Source organism: Homo sapiens, chromosome 14 (genome assembly GCF_000001405.40).
Source record: "Homo sapiens chromosome 14, GRCh38.p14 Primary Assembly".
Classification (NCBI taxonomy): domain Eukaryota; kingdom Metazoa; phylum Chordata; class Mammalia; order Primates; family Hominidae; genus Homo; species Homo sapiens.
Window position 1 is genome coordinate 80,995,502 of NC_000014.9, and position 19,730 is coordinate 81,015,231.

Here is a 19,730-nt window from a genome sequence, read left to right on the forward strand (position 1 = left end):
AAAGAATGAGATCATGTTCTTTGCAGGGACATGGATGGAGCTGGAGGTCATTATCCTCAGCAAACCAACACAGGAACAGAAAATCAAATCCCATATATTCTCACTTATAAGTGGGAGTTAAATTATGAGAACACATGGGTGCATAGAGGGAACAGTACACATTGGGGCATTTTAGAGGCTGGGGGATGGGAGGAGGGAGAGGATTAGGAAAAACGACTAATGGGTACTAGGCTTCATACCTGGGTGATGAAATAATCTGTACAACAAACTCCCATGACACAAGTTTACCTGTGTAACAAACCTGCACTTGTACCCCTGAACTTAAAATAAAAGTTAAAAAAAAAAAAAAGAATAAAGGGTAGCAAACACACCTTCTTGCTACAAAAGAAAAAAACAGTAGGCTATTGGTAGTTAAGTTTTGGGGTAGTCAAAAGTTATGTGCAAATTTTTGATTATGCCATTGTCGACACTCCTAAACCCCTCCATTGTCAAGGGTGAACTGTATCTGTTTTTGTAAGTCTTTTATGAAAATATTTTTAAATGTCAGTTTTTTGTTGACCCTGCATGATTGTGATAGAATTTTTCTACCTCGTGTCTCCAAAACAGATGTTGTTCCCTTATAATTATAATACATTTTACAAAATCGCAACTGCAGAGTGTTTTGTTGAAGTGATCATCTTAAATGAATGCATGAGCCGTAACCGGATCAATCATTCTTACTCCTGTCAAGCTTTCAATTACATTCCAGAGTCCCAGCACAAACCTAGCAGCTTGTTGGAACATCTAGATGCCCTTTGCTTCTACATCCTCCCTCTTTCCTCCCAGATTTGGATTACCTTTAAATGAGCTATTATCTGATATGATGCCACAGTTTCCATGATTCGTATTCATTTTTTTAAAACTTTCGTCTATGATCTAGTAAGTGACGATGACTGGTTTATTGCAAAATTTTCTGAATCACTTTGCTCTGTCAGATTAAGCTTTCAGCTAACCAGCAGAGGGAGCACAAAGAGACACACTGGTTTCATCTCAGTGTACAGGGAGTCTAGTTACTAAGTGGACGAAGAACTCCCGCACATTGAGATCTGGTCCTCAACTGGCAAGAAGCACTGTTCGAGCAATCAGGAAAATCTGGGCTTTAAGCAGTGGCACCACTACGAATTTATTCTCTTGCCTAAGATTACTTGGAATTCCTATAGTAGTGGGGGAGGGGGGACTCTCTTTTGTACTAGTTCCTCCTTAAATTTTAAAGAAATTGAGCCCGTGGACTGAGGTGGGTGCGGATGGTGGGATGCAGAGGAAACAAAAATTTCTTCTCATCTAGCTTCCACTCCAAATCTGTTTCTCCCAGAGAAAATACAAGACTTAGGAGTGCTGTATGAAGTCTCTTGCTGCTCTATTCTCTAGGAAACCTAATATGAAATCATTAAGCTACTGAATGTCAGTTTCTTCAACAGTAAAGAAGACACATTATTATTGCTGTTATTATTACTACTACTACTACCACCACCACCACTACCACCATTACTATCCATTTAGTGACTTCTGTTTTCTCTACTTAATCTCACTTATTCAGCATATCAGCCCTAAGAGGCAGATTTTATTGCTCCCATTTTACAGAAGAGGAACTGGAGGCTTAAAGAAGTTGAAGAACTCAACCAACGTCAAGCAACTAGAAAGGAAACTGGAAGAAGGTGTCTCTGATTCCAAAGCTCCATGCTTTTCATCTGTGTTGGTAATAAAAAGAATAATACCATATCACAGTTATATTGTACATTACAAAGCACTTTAACCTTTATCATCCCCACCTCGGGATAATTCTGTGAGCTAAACACGGACAAATAGTAACATTCACCCCTCCCTATCTCTCTTTACCTCTTTAGCTCCTATTTTTAAAAAACAAGCAATTAAGGGAACTAAAGCTTACAAAATGTAAAGGATTTTTCTAAGGTCACATAGATGAAAAATGGATTTGGGATTAAATGGGTTTTATTCCTGTAGTTGCCACATCACACTGCTTTGCCACATAGAGAGGAAGAGACCCAGCTTTGCCTCCAACTAGCTCTTTTACCCTAAAATGATCATTTAAACCCTGGAGTTCTTGCATATATAAAATAGATGGGAGTAACAATAATAATTAATACTTATGTTAACAACCTCACGGTATTCACAAAGATCAAATGAAATACGGAGATAGTTATGAAATAAGTAAATAATATACAGACAAATATAGTTCTATTGTAAGATTATCCTGGGTGTTGAAACTAGGTTATGTCTGACTTCTGGCAAAATTACAGGACAGGGCAGGTTAGTGTCTAATCTGCCTACTTCCCAATCCCCAGGTAGCTGTCGCCTGAAAAGGCATCGGAAGATACTTAAGAGATAGGAGATTGTTCATATTTACTTAATTTTTTGGATGAGACTGTTTGTCTGAACTGTCTCATGAGATGGTATTTACCTACTTGGGAAGCTCATTCTCTCATTTGGGACTTGGAAGCATTCTCATTGTACAACAGTGAGAGCTGGAATGCCATTACATCATTATGAACCACCCAGTGCCCATTTGATATAGTTAATAACAAGGATTAATGAAGTAATTTAAAAGGAAGAAATAGAATCCTTGCCTTGATCCAAGACAAAAGGACAAAAAAAATTTCTTTCTGAAATTTGAGGGAAAAAATATTGGTTGCTTCTATTCTTTTAAGAAACTGCCTGAGAAAAGTCACAGTGTGTGTGTTATGTGGGAAATAAGAGTATTGGGGCAGGCAATCATTCATATGTTAGATTTCTTTGTTCAGATCAATATTGTTTGAGTGCTAACACTGTGGTAGGTGCTGGAAATCGAATGCTGAACAGAACAGATAAGTTGCCCACACTTTCATGGAATTTGCATTTTAGACAGACAGCCAGCAATGATCAAATAATTACATGTTTGGTGGGTGTTACAAAGGAGAAAAACAGACTTCCATTATGACCTCTTATGTAATCACACTGCAATATCTTGAAATTATTACTTATAAAGATCAAGCAGAAGCTACTGCTGCATACTAGAGAATTTTAAATGATTTCCAACATCGAGAAACTTGAATTTCTTAAGGAGTAGTTATTATAAAAAGAAACTGGAATGGCTAATCTTGGCTGTCTCTCTAAAGCCAATATAAAGAAAATGAGTGATACACAACATTATCTTGACCTCACTGACAACTAGATAGCCTAAGAAACAGTGTGTGCAATAGAGTAGAAGGAAGAATCAAAGGACATATTTTATAAGGATAATGAGTTCTGCTTTCTTTTCCTCTTCTGGGCTATAATAATTTTTGTCTCTTTTGTAATCATACCCTCTTGGAAAGCCACTGGCTTGGACTGATTTATGCCTACTACAGATTTTTCCTTCCAAAAGTACATCTCCATGACTAAGGAAATGGGCTGTCTCAGGTTGGCTGGTTCCATCAAGAACACTTAAAACTTGATTGCACAATTGTAAAACCAACTGGGGTCTTAGCATCAACTTGCATTTTCTCATTGGCATCCAATTTTGAGGATATCATATTGCTTGGAGAAGAAAGAGGCAGTAGTTATTATAATTTCCGTGGACTTACAGAGTTTTAGAGACTTGGATATCGTGTACTTTAACCTCACACCCAGTGTAAGAATCTCCTATACCTGATTCATGATATTCATCTTTTGAATACATAGGGTAAAAAGAGCTTACTATCTCATTTTTGAAGAATTCTGTTATTCTTTTTTATATTGGAGAAAATCTACCACCATTAGTCTTAGATATGTTCACCAGAGCCATCATGGACCAAATCAGAAGTAATCATTTCTACTTAAAGACTTTCCTCCTCTTCACCACTAACAAGTCTTTTCTCTTCTAGGCTAAACATTCCAGGTTTTTCCTCCATTCTGTATACCACATGATCCTCCAAATTGCTCCCATTTTGGATGATGGAGCTTGAGGAGGTGGAAGATCAAAATGTTAGTGTGTGTTATCTAACAGATTTGCTCTTTCTCTCAGTTTTGTAACATTAGCAGGTTTGATCAATATTTCACCTGTGCTGCAATTCACATCGATAATTAAACTATACAGGGTTGCTTTAATTATAAAGCTAAAAGTGGATTTTTTTCCATTAACATTACCAGATAGGATGATTTGCCAACTCGTTCTCTGGGTCTAGAAAATGCCCAATGAAGTCATATTGACTCTAAAATCAAGCTCTGGATGTGAAGATGCTGCCATGCTGTTGAGTCAAAAGAATATATTATTTTTCATTTCTGTTAGACCAGTAATTTTAGTAACTTTGGCAAAAGGAATATAAAAACAAGCAATCTCCAATTTATAGGGCTGCACTGTAGAAGTCATTTGTTTGGAATGTATTTCACATGAGTATTAAATTTTTGGGGAAGACTACCAAATTTTTTTTCTTTTTTTTCTTTTTTTTTTTTTTGAGACAGACTCTTGCTCTGTCACCCAGGCTGGAGTGCAGTGGCATGATCTTGGCTCACTGCAACTTCCACCTCCTGGGTTCAAGCGATTCTCCAGCCTCAGACTCCCGAGTAGCTGGGACTACAGGCGCATGCCACCACACCTGGCTAATTTTTTGTATTTTAGTAGAGACAGGGTTTCACCATGTTGCCCAGGCTGGTCTCGAACTCCTGAGCTCAGGCAATCCGCCCGCCTTGGCCTCTCAAAGTGCTGGGATTACAGGCGTGAGCCACCGCACCCGGCCAAAATTTTTAACTCCTAAGACAACTGACATTGTAAACCAGAATGTCATTTCCGGTTCTTTAACTTAACATGTACCATAAGCACCACGAGAAATATTTTGACATCTAGCACGATGTTTAACAATGTTTTTCTGGATTCGGATGACCAGGATCACTGCTGGGAACACCAGGAATATTTTCATGCTTTTATTCTCTATCCAATTGAGTTAAGGATCCCCGGCCCCACATCTGCTGAATAAAGAAAACTGGGATCCTTGTGGCCTGAATCTGGTGGTGGCTGGGAAGGTTAAGATGCAGTGATAGATGCTACAGAGCTTCTGGAATAAAGCCTGCCTACCACTGGGGTATACTCCTCAGTCTTCATGGGTCGCAGTCAGACTCCCATTCTCTCTTTCCCTCCACGTCAGCCTGATTCATAGCCTCTTCGTACTCATTCTCTCTCTCTCCTCCTATTCTCTCTTCCTCAGGGGTCATGACAAAATCTTCCAGTTTTGTTTCACTTATCCCTTAAGCACTCTCCAATGCTTTAACAGTTTTCTAAGGTTTGTTTTTCCCTTGCTGGGTAGCTAATGAATTAATTAAGAGGGGAATATTGCTAGTTGCAAAAGGGAAGTGGGGTCTATAGAGGATCTCTCCAGTGGCAGCCTCTGTCTCTCAATCTCTCTCCCATTCTGTCTCACTTACAGCTGGCAGGGAGAGGCAGAATCACCTGCAGATGCTGCCTGTGGGCTGAGTAAAATGCACCAACTTTTCAAGGAAAAACAAGGACAGGCGATTCTAGGCCTTAAGGGAAAGATGGTGAGGTAGGTCTGACATCTGGCCTTTGATGAGAACACAGAACAGTACTTCTTTGTGGGAGTTGGGAGTGAGAAGCTGAGAACTAACTTTTATTTTTTTTTAACTCTTAATTGCATTTATTTTATGCTGAATTTATTCCCATGCCGTAAGTTTTTGTTTCTTCAGTTTCTTTTGAGATATCTTTTTTTTCCTTATGTACAACAGAAATATCATATGTTGCAGCAATATCAGCACAAAAGAAACTTACTGAATCCTTACTGAAAAGGAACAGATTGTTCCAGATTACTTCTCTTCAGGTTTAGGAAAAATTTGTTCCTTTTCAGTAAGGATCATCTTGATGTGGCAGGGAGAGTACATGCATGGGTTAATCCGACCATGAGCTCTATAAGGCCAGTAGCAAATCTTAGGTGCTTTATTTACCTGGGTATGCTCAATGACCTGAGAATCTACATCTACACCCTTAAGTTCGGCATTTCTCTCAGCATTTATAAACATGTGCAGCAAAAATTCAGCACTCATTTTGGGCCACCAACCCTGTGTCCAGCCCCACTGCTTGGCCTGGGCACTACCAACTCCCCCATTGTAACGTCAGAATGGTACACACTGTTTCTGTGAAGTGACATCTTTCAGATACTTGGTGGCTTTTCGTACAGGCACACCCTTGTTGGCCTGGGCAGTTTCACGAGTGTTCTTACAGGAAACACAACTATTTGAAATTCTTGATTTGCCTGATTTTGAGGGGTTTTCTGGGTCGAGTGAACAGAAAACTATTTTCACAGATCACCTCAGGCCACTTAGGGGAAGAGCGGGACTAACTTTCTTGATCTTGCTTTTGCCTGCCTTCTCTTTTCACAAAGGAACAGATGTTCCTTTCACCAATCTTTCACCGTCATTCATTTTTCTTCCTCCCCTTCTAAGACACACTTGGCTATTGCAGAAACACAGTTCCTTAAACACAAGTCCAAAATTCAAACAGCTCTGAACATTGAAAGTTTTTGGCAACCTACATTGCAGCAGAATTTGGCCCAAACTGACATGAGGTGATATCATCTTTATTTACTCACATATTTACTATAAAAATATCAATTATCAATGGGATTGTTTTAAAGTACAGCCCCAGTTCCTGCTTGAGTATAATCAAACATATGTATATTACCTTTCTAAAATCTGAAAATTTTTGAATTCTGAAATACATCTGGCCCCAAAAGTTTCTGGGTAAGGGATTATAGCCCTTTATTTCCTGTTTTCCTACATCTTTCTCTTTCCAGCTAAGTGTAAAAGAGTATAGACTCTGGTAACCCAAGCTGAATTCAAATCCTATCTCTAAATATCAGTTGTGTGTGATTTTGCTCTGTTTACTTAACCCGTCTGTGCTTCAGTTTCCCCATTTGTAAAATAGGGATAATAGTATTACCTATCTCAATGTTGTTGTGAAGATTTAATTGAGTTAATCTATGTAAAGTGCTTACAGTAATCTCTAGCACATAGTAAGCACTATAGGTTTGCTATTATCATCAACCTTAATCCTTCACTCTACCCAAAAATATTACCTAATGTCCCAATTATAAAATCCCTGCTCTTCGCCCTATTCCCTCCATAGTTAACCCTCTATCCATTTTCTTCCACTCATGCCATAAACAGAAAACCATTTGTCATTAGTTACCATTGACTACTCTTCAACTGGCTGAAATCTGGTTTGCTATCCTATTTCTCAACTCCATGGTAATTTCTCTCATTAAGGTCCCTAATGCCTCTTTTTTTTTTTTTTTTTTTTTTTTTTATCTTTTTTTTTTTTTTCTTTTTTTATTATTATTATTATACTTTAAGTTTTAGGGTACATGTGCACATTGTGCAGGTTAGTTACATATGTATACATGTGCCATGCTGGTGCGCTGCACCCACTAACGTGTCATCTAGCATTAGGTATATCTCCCAATGCTATCCCTCCCCCCTCCCCCGACCCCACCACAGTCCCCAGAGTGTGATATTCCCCTTCCTGTGTCCATGTGATCTCATTGTTCAATTCCCACCTATGAGTGAGAATATGCGGTGTTTGCTAATGCCTCTTAACTGCCAGTTTAAAAGACTGCTGTTTAGTTTCTTTTGTGCTGTTATTTCTGCAACATATAATATTTCTGTGACAAATAGACTCAGTTCTCCTTCTACTTCATTTTCATTCTACTGCTCCGGTGACTCGCTCATTAAAGGTTGACCTCCCCAGGTGTTTCATCCTTTGTCCTTTTTGTACAGTACACATGCTCCTTAGAAAAATCTCATCCAATTTAAAGTGTCAGCTATCACCTGGATAATAATGACTGCCACATTTTATCATTAGCCCTGACCTCTTCCTTGTGCTTCAGACTACATTTCCTATTTGCCTCCTGTGTCCAGCCCCACCACTTGACCTGGGCACTACCAATTCCCCCATTGTAATGTCAGAATGGTGCACGCTGTTTTTGTGAAGTGACATCTTTCGGATACTTGGTGGCTTTTCATATATGCACACCCTTGATGGCCTGGGCAGTTTCACAAGTGTTCTTAAAGGAAACACAAATATTTGAAACTCTTGATTTGCCTGATTTTGAGGGGTTTTCTGGGTCGAGTGAATAGCAAACCATTTTCACAGATCCATCTCCACTTGGATGACCTGCAAGAATCTCAAATGTAATATATCCCAACAAATTGTATGATCTTCTCCCTGACATCCTGCCCCTAACCCCCATTCCAGCCCCCAAAGTAATCTCACAACATGTATGTTTTTTCATTTTTAATCTCAGCTTTAATGGCTTTGCACACTTCACCTATTAGCTTAGGCCAGAAATGTTGAATCTTCATTCGTCTTTAACTTCCACATTCAATCAGTCACTAAATCCCGCCAATTTGTTTTTAGTAACATCGCCAGAACCTGCCTACTGATTTACTAAGGGCTTGTACTAACTATCATGTAGACCAGTGGCTTGACCTTTTTGCCCATAACCCATGGTATAAAATATATTTTACATTGTGCCCTGGGATATAGACATGTTTATGTACATCTGTGCTCTATTTTATTTCATTTCACTTTTCTAAAATTATGGTTATGATACCCTAAATTGATTTTACAATCTACCAATGGGTTACAATTTGCAGTTTAAAACACCCTGACCTCAAATAATAGCACTTTACTCGTCTCCCCTCTCCCGACCCCGGTGGGTCAATAGATAGCACTTCAGAGGTTGTGTACCAAAACCCTTAAAGGCAGGGATTGTAATCTGCCAAAGAAAATGCTCCCAAGAAGGTGATTCTGATATCTCCTATATGTTCTACTCAGTTATCAAGACAATACTGAATATTTCTTAGACATGTACTATACATAAAGCACACAGCTGTGGCTCAAATAAGCATGGTTCACTGATTTGGCACTCACATTTACATGAACTTGGAACCCTCAAAAGCCCTTAATGCTCCATGTATTTTCACACCTCCATTGACACTGCACATACTATTCCCCTTGCCTGGAGTGTCCTCCATACTCCCTTTCATCAGGCAAATGCCCATCTGTAGCAATGTATACAAAAATCTATTTATTTACCAAAGACAGTTAGGTAGCAGAGGGGTAGTAGTGGTACTGGGCCCAGTTTATGTCCCTCTCCAGTTACTCTGTTTCCTGGTCACAATGGTCCCAGCAACCGCCATGGTCATTGCTGCCAGCTCACTCCACAAAGTCTGTCACAATAGCCTGCCTGCCCCTCACTCTTTGATTTGCTGACTCAGAAATACTGGAAGTCATATTCATGGTTTATTTAAACAAGGAAAAACATATGTATGAGCAGGATGCCCCACAGGTGTTAACAACCACATGGCCTTCTGATTAAGAAAGTTTCCATCCTTGGATACTCATGGTTTTCTCCTCATTTCTCTCCTACCTGGGAAATATAATATGAGGAAGGCACTGTTAGGAATCCCCACCTTAAGGGTGAGGGAACTGGGGCATAAAGAGATTGAGTGATTATTGCAAGGCACTTAACCAATATGCAGCAGAGCCTAGAGTTTGAAAACATCTCTGGAGATGAAAATATGTTCCTTTTCTCTCCTATAATATTTAAGGGAAAAAGACTACAAATCCAATTTGTACTTGTCTATGCACTGGTCCTGTTTCTCCTGCCTTCTCATGAAGGGGACTCAAGCCTTTGTGTGTGTGTGTGTGTGTGTGTGTGTGTGTGTGTGTGTGTGTGCACGCACGCACGTGTATCTCTGTGTGTGTACTCTCAATCAGCACTCTAAAATATATTGGCACTCTGAAATATATGTGTATTTATGCATGTTTTATAGGCACATATTACTGTATAATATACTATGTAAATTATAAAACAAACACACAAAAACATAAATTCAAAAAGCATGAATTTTTAAAATTATAAGAGAAAGTTCTAATATTTTTCTGCACTCCCCAGTATATTACCTTGGATACTGTATTTTGGAGACCTGCCATAAAGTATCATACTTAGTAGAAAAACATATTTTCTTTCATATACAGGAAAAATATTGATCCACAATCAATATTGTTCACAGGGTTGCTTCTCAAGCTGTGGTGTTGTCTGAATGTCATATCCCCCAGGATGCCATTCAAGACAAGCATTTGCAGTTTTGAGATGGCTAATTCTAATTAGGAAAGCAGACTGCCACCACAGGTTATAATCTGACTAATGTGTTCTTGGAACCGCGGAGCTACTGAAGTTTTCGGGTATGACGTCAGTAAGGAGTGATGAAAGGAGGACTGGATTAACAGCAGATAAAAGTTCTAAATAATTTGACCTCTGCTTAAAATAGCGATGGGCCTTGAACAAAACATTTAATAGTAACGGGTCCTTTGATTAAATTGCTTTTGCATGTATTTAATATTAATTCCACTGATATGATACTAACCCTAAGAAATAAGCATGGCTGATACTAGCCCTTAATTTTATATCATAAATGAGCAAAATCTTAAAGAGAGTAAATGACTTGCCCACACAGTAAAAGGCATAACTGGGCTTCACAATGGTATTTTTGACTCATGTATTATCTTACCTTGCTTAACCTCTTTGGGCTTCATGCCTTTAAAATAAACTTTCTGTTTTAGAACAGTTTTAGGTTTTAAAAAAAGTTGTGAAGATGGTCCAGGTAGTTCCCATATACTTTACACGCATTTTCCCCTATGTATTCGCTTGCTAGTGCTGCTGTCACAAAGCCCCACAGACTGGGTGGCTTAAACAACAACAGTTTATTTTCTCTCAGTTCTGGAGGCTATAAGTCCAAGATCAAGGTGTAGACCAAGATCAAGAGGCTTTTCTGGGGCATCTCTCCTTGTCTTGCCCATGGCCTCCTTCTTGCTGTGTTCTCACATGGTTTTGTCTCTGTCCTGATCTCCTCTTCTTATCAAGGACACCAGTCAATTTGGATTAGGGCCCACCCCAATGACCTCATTTTAACTAAACTACCTCTTTCAGGGCCCTATTTCCAAATATAGTCAATTTTTTTTTTTTTAATCTGAGTCTTGCTCTGTCACCAGGCGAGAGCGCAGTGGTGCAATCTTGGCTCACTGCAACCTCCAACTCCCTGGTTCAAGCAATTCTCCTGCCTCAGCCTCCCGAATAGCTGGGATTACAGGCACACACCACCATGCCCAGCTAATTTTTGTATTTTTTTAGTAGAAATGGGGTTTCACCATGTTGCCCAGGATGGTCTGCATCTCCTGACCTCGTGATCTCCCCGCCTCGGTCTCCCAAGGTGCTGGGATTACAGGCGTGAGTTAACATTCCTGGCCCCAAATATAGTCACTTTCTGAGGTACTGGGGTTAGGACTCCAATATATAAATTTGGATGGGGACACAAGTTAGCCCCTAACACCTTATTATTAATGCTTTACATTAGTATATTTATCACAATCAATAAACAAATATTGATACATTATTATTAACTGAAGTCCATATCTTATTTAGATTTCCTTCATTTTCACCTAACAAACTTTTTCAGTCCCAGATGCTATCCAGGATACCACATTACATTTTGTCACTGTTATGTATTTAAATGTTTGCGTCCTCTCAAAATTCACGTTGAAGTTCTAACCCTAATGTGATGCTATCTGGAGATGGGGTCTTTGGAGGGAATTAGATTTATATGAGGTCATGAGGATTAGTGTCCTATAAGAAGAGGAAGAGAAACCAGAGCTTGATTTATACTGACACCTTGATCTTAGACTATCCAACCTCCAAAACTGTAAGAAACAAATATCTGCTGCTTAAGCCATTCAGTCTGTGGTATTTTGCTGTGCCAGTAGACTAAGATAGTCATCAGGTCTCCCTGAGCAACTCTTGACTCTGACGGTCTTACAGTTTTCTTGTTTTTGATGGCCCTGAGAGTTTTGAGAGTACTGGCCAGATATTTTGTAGAATGTCCCTCAATTGGGATTTGTCTCTTTTTTTCTCATTAATAGACTGGGGTTATGAGTTTTAGAGAGGAAGACCAGCAAGGTGAAATGTCATTCTCATCACTTCGTATCAAGGGTTCATGCTATCCACATGTCCTATCACTGATGTTGTTGACATTGATCACCTGGCTGAGATGCTGTTTATCAGGTTTCTCCACTTTCTCCCATAATATTACTCTTTTCTCCTTCTTTCCATACTGTATTCTCACTTACAGAATGGGAAGTTTAGGACTTCACATGTTATTTGTAAAACAGCAGGACTGGATTAGTCCATTTCTAAGTCATCTCTAGTTTGTTCCTTATAATCAATGAGAAGTACTGTCCTGATTGAAAAGGAAATCTGTATTCACAGAACAGGGTGAGAGAGCAGGATCACTTAGGTTCAAACCCTTAGTTTTAACCGTCTTAGCGTTCTTTCTGAACAGAGGGACTACAAAAAACCATTGTGAATGTAGCAATTTAATGATCTACTTTTTTGCAAGTTGGCACCATATTATGTATTGATCAGCCTTGGACAGATCACTGTGTCCAGACTCAATTCTGAAAACTTGTGGAGGGTTGGAGAGTAGGGGTATGTCTATTCTTCACCTAACAACACTGATGATGATGACACTGTTGGTCATAAAGCAATACTCAATAATTTTGTTGATTGCTGATCAGTTACTTCAAACACAAACTTGTAGACCATTTTCTTTCTTTCTTTTTTTTTTTTTTTGAGATGGAGTCTCGCTCTGTCACCCAGGCTGGAGTGCAGTGGCATGATCTCGGCTCACTGCAAGCTCCGCTTCCCGGGTTCACGCCATTCTTCTGCCTCAGCCTCCCAATTAGCTGGGACTACAGGCGCCCCCCACCACGCCCGGCTAATTTTTTGTATTTTTAGTAGAGACGGAGTTTCACCTTGTTAGCCAGGATGGTCTCCATCTCCTGACTTCATGATCTGCCCACCTTGGCCTCCCAAAGTGCTGGGATTACAGGCGTGAGCCACTGCACCTGGCTTTGTAGACCATTTTCTAGAACCAACAGGTAAAATTTACTAGAGATTTTATCTTGGACGTGAACTCTAGGTAGTTTACATTTCTTATTCTAGCATATAGTGCATGCATTGAGATTCTACCAATATAAATATGTAAAATAAGGCAAAATAAATGAATTTCAAAAGGAAATTAAGGTCTTTAAGCTTTATCTATGTGAATTATCCTTAAAATGTGAAGAATTGCTAGCTGTTTTTTATCCAACTTCTTATTTCCTGCACCAGTTTGAAACATACTCTCCTTAAGAAATTCTTAAAAGTTTCCAATTACTGTAAGAATAATGGAAATTTTTCTCTTTAAATAACCCGAACATTAATTTGTTGTTCTTTAACAGGATTTCCTTTTTAATGATTATAAAAGCTCATCTGTCCATGATATATAGCAATGTACCCATACAATATGAAATTGTATTTTACCCATAAACAGTCTTCAAACAAGACACACAATTTTCTTGCTTACTGGCTAATTAAAATAAAATTTAAACCCACATTAAACTTGATTACATTGTCAAAACACCCACATTTTTAAAGGAGAGGCCTACAGTGTTAATTCAGAGAGAGTGATTCTTTACTCTTCAGCTAATAATCGCTTCAGTATTAATAATAACTTCAGCTAAAAATAGCTTCGGTAGTCTCAGATTTTTAAAATCATGTCAATGTAATCATGCTTTTATGTCCTCTTCATTTGTGGAAAAGGAAACAAATGATTTGTCCTATGTATGAGAAGATCTTTTAAAATGAAGTTTCTAGGGTTTCCAAGTTGGCAAAACGTTTGTCAGTATCATCATTTGGTTTGTAGACCACATTGATTCATATACTGGCTACACTGCATATTAATTGCAGTTTCTTTATTATGGAATATTTAAAATGCACAAAGATACACAGTGAACTATAATAAATACCCCTATGCGCCCACCTCCAGGAAAAGTAATCATTGTGTTTTTAAAAAATAAAACATCATACTGGAGTTCCTCTTTGTTTCATGTTCATTCTCTTTCTTCCTCAGGAGTTATCAGTGTGCTGCAGTTGATGTGCATTTTACTCTTCGTTTTATCATATCTGCCCACAACCACAAATGCCATAGGACTGTGTTTTGTATTTCAACATTTTATTTAAACTGTATCATATTTTCTGTATCATTCTATAGCTTACTTTCTTGACTCCATATGTGAATTCAAGAGAAATTAATGTTGATGCATGTAGTCTAGTTTATATTTTTGGCTATCTAGTATTTTGTCATGTAAATAAATCACAATTTGTTTATCCATTTCCCCTATGATGAGCTTTAAGTTGTTCCACAAAGTTGAGTCTTGCAAAGGTTGCTAGACTGAACATCCTTGTGTATTCTTGTGTACGTCAACTGTGCCAGTTGTGGGGGGAGAATATACCTAGATGAGGACTTGTTGGGTTGGAAGACAAGTTAACTTCAATTTTACCAGATAGTTCCAAATTACTCTTTGGAGTGATTGTAGCAGAATTCACTCCCGAGTAAATGAAAATTTCTATTTCCAAATATCCTCACCATATCCTCAGACATTTTAAATATTTACCAATCTGATAAGTATTCTTCTTGCTCTCATTTTCCTGATGACTACTGAGATTGAGCATTTTTCATGCTTTTTCTTGTTTCACTTTACCTTCTTTTTCTGTAAATTATTTATTGCCTTATCTTTTTATTGCTTCATAAGAGTTCTTTATATATCTTGGGTATTAATGCTTTGGTATGCAACTAGTAAATATCTCTTCCCAGTTTATAACTTGCCTTTTAATTTAACTTTTTAAATATGTATTGACTAAGAAGTTAGATACTAGTCATTTAACTTTATGTAATTTTTTATTCTATAGATAATTTAAATTTCGGAACAGCCATATATATGTCTAGTTTCTTTTCATTTTGTCTTTCAATCAGCTCTAATAATTTTCTCAACTGAGATCTTGTATGAGTTTCATTTATTTTTAACTATATTATAGTTTTTGTTTTTCTTTTTTAATGAGCTTTTTAAATTTACATTTTCTAAATGATTTTTTGCTGGTATATATGAGCACTATGGATGGTTGTACATTAATCTTTATATGCAACAACATTGCTTAACTCTCTTGCTTTTCCCTACAGGAAAATATATTAAAATAACCATTTTTTTCTCCCTTTTCAAAATTAATTCCTATTTTTTGTCTTATTGCATTCATTAGAAACCCCAGTACAATGTTGAATAGCAACATTCTGTCTTCTTAACCTTAAAGACAATACTTCTAGAGTTTCCCTATTAAATATGAAATTTGCTATATTTTTGGTATATGGCCAAAAGATGTACATGTAAGATGTATCAGTCAATATTTAGATTTGGAGGTAACAGAAACTCACCCCAACTATCTTAAACTGAAGTTGGGTAAATCTGATTCTTTAGGTCGCTGCTGAGAACTCCATTACGGACATCACTGCTTCTTGGTACTCAGCACTAATTCCATCATGTTCTCATTTTCATAGCTACCAGAAAAACTTCTCCACTGTTCTTGTATCTTACTGTCGCTCTCTTGAGAGTCAAAGGCCTAGATGACAGCATTCAATTAGCTGGAGCTAGGAACTAACATGACTGAGTTGGGTTTTTCCTTTCTTGTACGATCCAGGCCCAGTTTTGGTGTCAAGATTGTACTAGCTTCATAAAATGAATTGAAACACTTTTCTTTTTCCTTCCCTTCCTTCCTTTCTTTTCTTCTTTCTTTTTTTTTCTGAAATTGATTAAGAAAAAAAGTATCAGGTTTTTGAAAGTTTGGTAAATTGTAAAACCATTCTGGTTAGTGCATTTTTAGGGACAGGGAAAATAGATAGACAAAAATAATAATTTATTCAGTTATTAGTTGTCTGTTCAGGCTTTGCTATTTCTATTTTGGTCATTTATATTTTTTGGATACATCAGTTTCTTTTAATTTTTAAAAGCTTTGAAGATAAAGCTATTCACAGTATTCTTTTAAGTTATTTTTTCAAATTTGTACAGTATTTATAGTTGTCGCTTCTTTTTCATTCCCAGTACAATTATGTATCGTGCTTTCTCTTTTCTTTTGCTTGACCAATTTTGCTACATGTTTATCTATTTTATTAGTTTTTTCAAACCAGTTTTTATACTAGTTCATCAGGTTCTAAAAATTATGCTGCAATACTTATGGCCTAAAAGGAATAGTAATTATAATTTTTAGTCATATGTAGTAACTACTAGGAAAAACTTTATTTTTCTGTTTTAATTACATTAAAAAGTCCCCTGGAAAATATGAGTTAAGTGTTTTCTCCTGCGGAGATTGCAGTGAGCCGAGATCGCGCCACTGCACTCCAGACTGGCGACAGAGGGAGACTCTGTCTCAAAATAAATAAATAAATAAATAAATAAAAGCTTTTTCCTATCTAGTTTTTACAAGGAAAATCTTTTTTATTTATTTATTGATTGATTTGTTATCATAATACTTTAAGTTTTAGGGCACATGTGCACAATGTGCAGGTTAGTTACATATGTATACATGTGCCATGCTGCTGCGCTGCACCCACTAACTCGTCATCTAGCATTAGGTATATCTCCCAATGCTATCCCTCCCCCTTCCCCCCACCCCACAACAGTCCCCAGAGTGTGATGTTCCCCTTCCTGTGTCCATATGTTCTCATTGTTCAATTCCCACCTATGAGTGAGAATATGCGGTGTTTGGTTTTTTGTTCTTGCGATAGTTTACTAAGAATGATGATTTCCAATTTCATCCATGTCCCTACAAAGGACATGAACTCATCATTTTTTATGGCTGCATAGTATTCCATGGTGTATATGTGCCACATTTTCTTAATCCAGTCTATCATTGTTGGACATTTGGCTTGGTTCCAAGTCTTTGCTATTGTGAATAATGCCGCAATAAACATACGTGTGCATGTGTCTTTATAGCAGCGTGATTTATAGTCCTTTGGGTATATACCCAGTAATGGGATGGCTGGGTCAAATGGTATTTCTAGTTCTAGATCCCTGAGGAATCGCCACACTGACTTCCACAATGGTTGAACTAGTTTACAGTCCCACCAACAGTGTAAAAGTGTTCCTATTTCTCCACATCCTCTCCAGGACTTGTTGTTTCCTGACTTTTTAATGATTGCCATTCTAACTGGTGTGAGATGGTATCTCATTGTGGTTTTGATTTGCATTTCTCTGGTGGCCAGTGATGGTGAGCATTTTTTCATGTGTTTTTTGGCTGCATAAATGTCTTCTTTTGAGAAGTGTCTGTTCATGTCCTTCGCCCACTTTTTGATGGGGTTGTTTGTTTTTTTCTTGTAAATTTGTTTGAGTTCATTGTAGATTCTGGATATTAGCCCTTTGTCAGATGACTAGGTTGCGAAAATTTTCTCCCATTTTGTAGGTTGCCTGTTCACTCTGATGGTAGTTTCTTTTGCTGTGCAGAAGTTCTTTAGTTTAATTAGATCCCATTTGTCAATTTTGGCTTTTGTTGCTATTGCTTTTGGTGTTTTAGACATGAAGTCCTTGCCCATGCCTATGTCCTGAATGGTAGTGCCTAGGTTTTCTTCTAGGGTTTTTATGGTTTTAGGTCTAACGTTTAAGTCTTTAATCCATCTTGAATTGATTTTTGTATAAGGTGTAAGGAAGGGATCCAGTTTCAGCTTTCTACATATGGCTAGCCCGTTTTCCCAGCACCATTTATTAAATAGGGAATCCTTTCCTCATTGCTTGTTTTTCTCAGGTTTGTCAAAGATCAGATAGTTGTAGATATGCGGCGTTATTTCTGAGGGCTCTGTTCTGTTCCATTGATCTATGTCTCTGTTTTGGTGCCAGTACCATGCTGTTTTGGTTACTGTAGCCTTGTAGTATAGTTTGAAGTCAGGTAGTGTGATGCCTCCAGCTTTGTTCTTTTGGCTTAGGATTGACTTGGCAATACAAGGAAAGTCTTAACAGATGTACACAATTTTTGAGACATATAAGTAGGTTTTTTCTCCAATAAACAGATGTTTATAAAGGATTTGTACGTGCCATTATGATAAACTACAAAGATAAATACACATGCTCTGTTCTCTAAGAGTTTTCCAGCCAATAAAAATTTACAGCTACTCTTTATTGTCCACCATACTCTGTTATGAGCCATGGGCTTTAGTAAGTTCTCATGACATTGGGCACTGACTTCCTGGGAGTGTAAGTGACTCACCTGGACCCCACAGCCAGTGAGCATTAGTGCTTATATTCCATCCTCCAAAGCTCTTTCTTCATACCAGACCACACATGTGGCCCAAGGAGGGATATTTACTCTGCACTTTTAGAGTTCTAGAAAACATTGTTTAGTGGTCTGGCATCATCTATATTTACTTGGCTTGATTTGGGATAGAGTATAATCCTAGTCCTCGATGAAAGGATTTTGATGAGTTAACCTTATGGGGTGATGGGATTTATGGGATTATTTCCACACTTAAAATGATTTGTGGGAAAAAAAAGTGTACTAATCCCTAATTTAGGATTAAGACAGATATACCTATGAGATATGGGTCTATAAAATTCATCATAATTTGAGAAATGCAACAAATAATCACCTCTAAAATATCTTGTTGGTTCAGTTATTTTAGTCCAAAAGCCAGTTGGAGATCTGTTCTGTATCAAGGGCTCCAGCCCTCTTGTGAGAGGTAGCTGTTTTTCATTCGCTTGTAGTCTTGAAGTAAAAACAATGTCAGGGACGGTCTCCTCAGAACCCCAGAGGGTCTGCCTTTTAGGAAGTGTTTGTCCCCTCAGAAACGAGAAACCAGATGAGCTGAGTTTAGGGGTCAGACCAGAGGAAATGGCTGGAAATTAGAGGTCTCCTGGCTAATTCACATGATGCCAAATAACAGTCTTTCTGTTGGGTGTCAGAATCCAGAATGGTGGGAAATTTGTATCTAGGGGATATAAAAGAAAATGAATGAGATAATATATGCAAACAGATGAGTAGAGTGCCTGAAATGTACTAATAGCCTTCAGTAGATTCCTTCTCCAATTTCACCCCTTCTCCATCTCAGGTTTGGCTTTCCCCTGGACCTGTCAATAAAAACCCTGAGAGTTTGATTGAACAATGGCACTGTATGGTCAATGCTACCAGACTCTTTAACATGCCTTGTTTGCCACAATTTCATTGAATGGGAGCAGAATGGCAACCAAACCAAGGCTAACAGACTTTGTCCTAGAATTCCCACACCAAGTAGGAAGCATAAAATAACTTAGAGACTTGACTATAGTTCCTGCAGCTATTAGTCATGGTGTGTTAGCAGAACACAATCTCAGAAAGTTATTTCCTAAATGCCTTCCAAAGCCTTGGTTCTTCATGCAGATAGTTTTGGCCAACTGTAATGGCAGTGAGAAACTTCACGAGTGTCCAGAAGAACAGAATTTATACTTTAAGTTTAACTTTGTTTTGGATTGAATGTTCCTTAAAAATAAACCTTCACCTGATTCTTATTTTCATTTCAATTCCATGGGCTGGTGATTTGAGTGTCAGGGATAGAGTTCTTAGAATCTGTTTATGTGGTGTGAATACAGAAATGGTCTGATTCTGAGTATTAGGATCATGATCAGAGTTTTGATATAAACTCAAAACCTCACTAAGCCACATGTTATTTTTTGAAGCATAGAAATTGGACTTTGCAAACAACCAAAATCCTTTTGTTTGAGAAACTCTAAATAAGCATTGAGTTTTCTTGCCATGAAGTTTTACACTGTATCTAGAAAG

At 37.9% G+C, this 19,730-nt stretch overlaps 1 protein-coding gene, 1 long non-coding RNA gene and 1 pseudogene across 6 annotated transcripts in view, besides 1 other annotated feature; 1 reads left to right on the forward strand and 2 right to left on the reverse strand.

Annotated features, from left to right (window-relative positions):
• The window catches only part of TSHR (thyroid stimulating hormone receptor), a 190,686-nt gene that overhangs the window by 39,881 nt on the left and 131,075 nt on the right, over window positions 1-19,730 (forward strand). The window lies entirely within an intron of this gene.
• Window positions 1,031-1,090: a silencer, noted in NCBI's record as "silent region_5983". NCBI's record gives its function as "represses an Ori minimal core promoter by ATAC-STARR-seq in GM12878 lymphoblastoid cells {active_cell/tissue: GM12878}" and the evidence as "EXISTENCE:reporter gene assay evidence [ECO:0000049][PMID:35858748]".
• RPL17P3 (ribosomal protein L17 pseudogene 3) lies at window positions 5,633-6,316 on the reverse strand (annotated as a pseudogene).
• The window catches only part of TSHR-AS1 (TSHR antisense RNA 1), a 156,341-nt gene continuing 155,175 nt past the window's right edge, over window positions 18,565-19,730 (reverse strand). For all 3 annotated transcript variants that reach the window (XR_001751022.2, XR_007064290.1, XR_001751018.3), the window contains one exon: window positions 18,565-18,903. This is a non-coding gene — a long non-coding RNA (TSHR antisense RNA 1). The remainder of the gene's footprint in view (window positions 18,904-19,730) is intronic.